The 5,221-nt window shown below is 35.9% G+C and overlaps 1 annotated feature.

Annotated features, from left to right (window-relative positions):
• Window positions 1,982-3,171: an enhancer, noted in NCBI's record as "VISTA enhancer hs1128". NCBI's record gives its function as "enhancer in: forebrain[4/6]" and the evidence as "EXISTENCE:transgenic organism evidence [ECO:0001131][PMID:17130149]".

Here is a 5,221-nt window from a genome sequence, read left to right as displayed (position 1 = left end):
GGTTCACAAAAATCCCATGCATAAGAACTAAACGGCTAACCCCTTTGCTTCTCAAAGGCTCATTTAAAGCTCTTTACATATAAGGCAGCTGTACTATTGCCGACTCATTCTGACTGCACCTTTTGGCTGATTTTGAGTGTGTAAGCAATCAGCCATGTGTGCACCTTTTACAGGGAGAAGTGATTGACAAAAACTTGGAAATAATCTTTGGCTGAACTGCCCTGTTCTATGAACAAAGAGTGGCTTATCCGATCGCCTGGAAGTTACAAGCATAGGAGCTCTGTTTTGCTCTCCGTTTTACCCTGAGATAAAGAGCTTGAATTATCAGTTAGATGTTACTCTTTGCATAAAGCATGTTTTTCCTAAGAAAGGATAAATATGCATTATAAGTTGTTATTTTAGAAACACTTATCATACCCCAAAACGAGTTCTCTTGATCTCCTTCAGAGCAAAAAACAGTTTCCTGTTAGATGATTCTTACCAACAGAGCTGTTCACGTTGAGAAAGAGAGAGAGAAAAAAAAAAAGAACGGAAAAAATAACCCTTACAACTGCACAAAGGACGACTTTATAGGAGACCTTCAAACACTGAAAATCAGCCCAACGTCCTGCCGATCATTATTGAGACATCTGTATTCACTTCACACGGACCCAGGCACTAATCAGCCAGGAAGTGCAACAAGCACTGGCAGAAAGTATACAAAGATAAAGTACCAAATGGTATGAATATTAAAATCATAAATACAATAAAACAAGATAATGAGTGTCCTCAATTATAATAAAGCTAAAGCCCAATTAAAACATAATCACTGACTTATTATTCAGAATTTTTTTAGAGATCATATTTAGCTGATTTGTTACACTCATTTCCCTTTAAAAGATTTCATCATCACTTTTTTTGCATATCCACTTTTAAGAAGATTCATTTATCCATCTAATTGAATAATTAGGCTTTTTTGATTAATTGTTTTAAACAGTTTCATGTCATGGGTATCTTCCCACTGAAATGCTTTTATATTATCTTCTGTGCCTTGATGTTCCTGCTATAAATTACAAGTAATCACATCTTTTCACCTCTCCTTCTGGCACATCCAAAGAGGACTGGGTTTAGTTGGAGAGCTTCCTACTGGTTCTCTTCTCTATCCCTCACTTTCTTTTCTGGTTCTCACAGCTGCAAGTAGTTCTGAGCTTCATCATACGTGATCATTTTAAACAACTAAGCTATGAAGCAATGGTGACTCTCTACCTTCTTATGTTCATCCCTGCCAGTGCATACAAGATTCACAGCTTCAAAGGTTTCCCCAGGGGTCCTAGCCCAGCAGAAAATCCTGATTATAAGTGACGTTTGAGTGGATTTTTAGAATTAGTTTATTAACAATTATATCCAACCCAAGGCTCTTTATTAACAGTATCAAGACAGTCGTCTAGGACAGAACCCAATACTGCTGTGTTATCTTGGCATGAAAGCAATTTTTCACATGGGAAATGATCTCAAAGATTATCTAAAGGTCAGCATTGGGGGGATGATACCTCTTTCTAAGATTGGAGAGTCTAAAATCATGGAAGCCAGTCTTGGGGGCTGGGAGTGGGACTTGACTTTGTGACAGCCACCTTGCTTCTCCCTCAGGATCAGGCATTTCCATTTGAGAAATTAGACAGGCAAGTCTGTCAGCCAGGGCTTGACTGCAGCATATCTTCGACACACCTCACCCACTAATCCCACTTCTACAAAAGAAGCTGAAGTGAACCATTTCTGTTGCCTTGAATACAAACTAGGTCTTCACTTGTGCCTAAAAGTGATTTAATTGACTCATAATCATTTCAAATATTCTTTGAATATTGCTCTTTTACCAACAGATTAGTGTGTTTGTGATTGCTTCTTAAATATCAACAATTCATATGTGACAATTTTATAAATAGGGCAGTAGTAGAGTCATTTCAGCTTCTCTTATGGGCCAGTGACCGAGAAGTCTCAAATAGTATTGTACTGAGGTGAGAGCATGGTACAATGTCTGTTTTATTTTCAGGAGTATATTATGTCTGCCCAGAAGTGAAATGCAACCAGGTGAGGCCTTTTATGAATCTGGATTAGAATATCTAGTTTTGGATGAAATATAAATGAAATTGAGCTATTAACACTCCAGGAGGAGAAGAAAAAAAAAACAACAGCTCTCTTTCTCGATGTTTTATCAGTAATCATGTCATCGGGGAACAAATGGGGGAGTAGCATTATTATTAAAAAAAAAGCATTTGTGATTACAGAGTACAATTATAGCTACTTTATATATTGATTAACCTGTTTTTTAAAGGTAATAACTATGTTACCATTTGATTTCTAAGAAAAGAGCACATTTTCTTTTAAGGACTTGTAATACTGAAGATTATGGATAAGTCAAATATCAGGACAAGGTGATTACTTAACATCTGTGACCAAGGAAAAGGCTAAGGGAGAAAATCAACCAACATCTGCACTGTCAGTAAAATACTTGGGGGAAAAAAACACAAGTGAAGTGTGATTAATCACCATGGATGTATGATTGAGTCAATTGACTGTTACTTTTTCATGATGATTAATCAGCTACAAAAATTATAATTGTCCCACTTCTAGTGGCTGCATGCTGTGCCCGATGACATCAGCTGGGGCTATAGATACTCAATGTGTGGTTTTCAAAAGAATATGCAAATATGACTGGGTAAAGAGGGGTGGGGCTTCAACTCCATTGTAAGAAACACCACGAGTCTTTGCCCTTCTATTATGGTTGGAGTTTTCTTAGCAGCTTCCAGAGAGGGCAGTTCTTGTGCTATTACGACTATTTCATAACCTCATCACCACCACAAGGGAAAATTAGAGAAACCCATTTCTGCAAATTGGCCATTGTGATCTTATTCAGGAGATGATCAGATACTTGGTAATTCATTTTCTTCCTTTCCACTGATTTCTTTTGTGATTAGTACAAAATAGTGACATAAACATATGTGCAAGGAATGATACTAGCAGGGAGTGGCTGGGGTCCTGGGCTTTCAGCTTGTTTGCACATTTGGCTCCTCAGCCTATTTGTGGAGCAAGCCAAAGAAACTGGGGTTACAAATGTCCATCAGAACTTATAAAAGAACATCTGTTCATTAGCTGTGACTCTCTATAGAGAAGTGCCATCATCAGAATAGGCTTGCTTGTAGGTGTGAAAGTTTTTTTTAAAGACTACTTTCCCTAGCATTCCTAAAACTCCAAGGCAGTAATAAATCTTTGCAGCTGGCTCTGCTTACCTATTCCTCAAGGGACTACTGAGACTCACCTGATAGAGAATGAAGCACAGTGCCCATGTTTCTCTATAGGTTGGAATTTACTAGTAACACTGAGAATGTCATCATGGGGTTGAATATAGCTTTTGATCATTCTGCTTGATCAACTCATCTTTAAATGATTATCTTAAATTCATCGTTAATCAGAAAATCTTAAAGTACTAAAGTCTGACAAAATAACCTAACTGATTAATTATCCCAAAGCAACTGGGCCTTATCAGAGTAGAACTAAACGTACTGATATACTCTGCAGAAGAGCAGCACAGGGCAAAACCCTGGTCACTCCATGAATTCGCTATTTACGTTTCACTATCTTTCACCCTGAGACGCCAAACTACTTTGGAAAATGTAGCCCACTTAAGACTTGAAATTCAGACTCTTACTTAGCCTTTCAAAATGGGGTGGTTTCTTTTTAAGAAATCTTAGAGATAACATCTTTAAAGAAAAAAATCTTCCTTTACATTCATTAAATTAAAAAGAAAGGATTTCAAATATCTTCCCAGCTAGTTCTAAGCAGGCAATACCTTTCTGAGCCTTCAGCTGTATCATAAAGTCCCCACTAATGATCTGTAATGAAGTACTTCTTTTTGCACATCCAGCATTTTCCCTTTAAAGTTCAAGAAATAGCACAAGTTTGCCAACACTATTCCCCTTTTAGCACACTGACTGTACTTTTGAACCAAAGCACTAACACGACTGGAAAAAAATAGTAATTTTTCTACGTGGGTCTTGGAGTATCTACCCACTGCAATGCAATAAAACATAACCTATCAACATGTATCACCCCTAATTTATTGTATTTTAAATATAAATTATTAACAGTTCTTACATACACATGTTCTCTAAACCCATAGAGGCCTTTAATTTTATTAATATGAATCACCGAAGTCTTTCTAACTTCTTGTATTTAGATAAGAAAGAGAAACGTGGGAGCTCCAGTCTCTTGAGCTTTCTCTAGGTACCTACTAATTGTTAATTATTAGAGACTAACTAAGTCACTGAAGTGAGTCATTTGGCTGGTGTCTCAAATGCTGTCATTTACTACTACACAAATCAGCCTGGTGATAGAGTGTCTTTAAATTAGGTTACAACCATGCAGTTATTGGACAGGGAGTAATTGATAAAACCATTAGTAACACTTGTAGAGATAACAGCTAGCAAAATCATGCAACCATAATTATTCCTAATGGATACGTGCTATAAATTGTGGCAAGAAAAAAATCTTACATTATCTTTCAATCAAATCTGACAGTCCTGGAAGATTACCTTAGACTAAATGCTTGTGTATGAGAAAGTGACCTATCAGAATTGCTCTGCTTTTTCTTATCCTTTTTTCCTATCAAATTATGGGTTTTCTTTTGTAATTTCCCTCTCTGATAGCTTTTGGTTAAAATGCAGCTCTTTTATTAGTTGTCTTTTCTCTGAGTTTTAAAAAGTATATATCCTATATATTTTTTAATCATATGCCAGATACTGCAAGACATTTCATAATGAAACGTGGAGACAGTTACAGTTTGAGGCAAAGAATTCCAAGTAATAGACTGTTTTTAATACCAAAACTTATTATTTGGTAATATGTAACTTTTCTATGAATGTTGATATCAATATTCATTTCAGAAAAAAAGATTAGTGTTGTAATAAAAAAAAACACAATGGTTGATTTACTTTGATTCTCCTCCATAAAGGATAAATCTCTATGGAGAAAATACAAGAGACTTTAACAAAGCTTTCTCACTCTAATGATACCCTCTGTGGTAGGGCATTCCCCAGACATATAGACAGCAATAAGTGAGGAAAACATACCTACATTTTTTTCTGAGCACAACATTTTTTAAATATGTAAATAAAATTTTGTTTATTTTCATTTATTTTGTTGAAATTATCATTATAAATTGGACAAAAATCTTTCCAATGACTTTAGT

Source organism: Homo sapiens, chromosome 6, assembly GCF_000001405.40.
Source record: "Homo sapiens chromosome 6, GRCh38.p14 Primary Assembly".
Classification (NCBI taxonomy): domain Eukaryota; kingdom Metazoa; phylum Chordata; class Mammalia; order Primates; family Hominidae; genus Homo; species Homo sapiens.
Note: the sequence above shows the minus strand (reverse complement) of the source record. Positions and strands in the feature narration are given on the sequence as shown.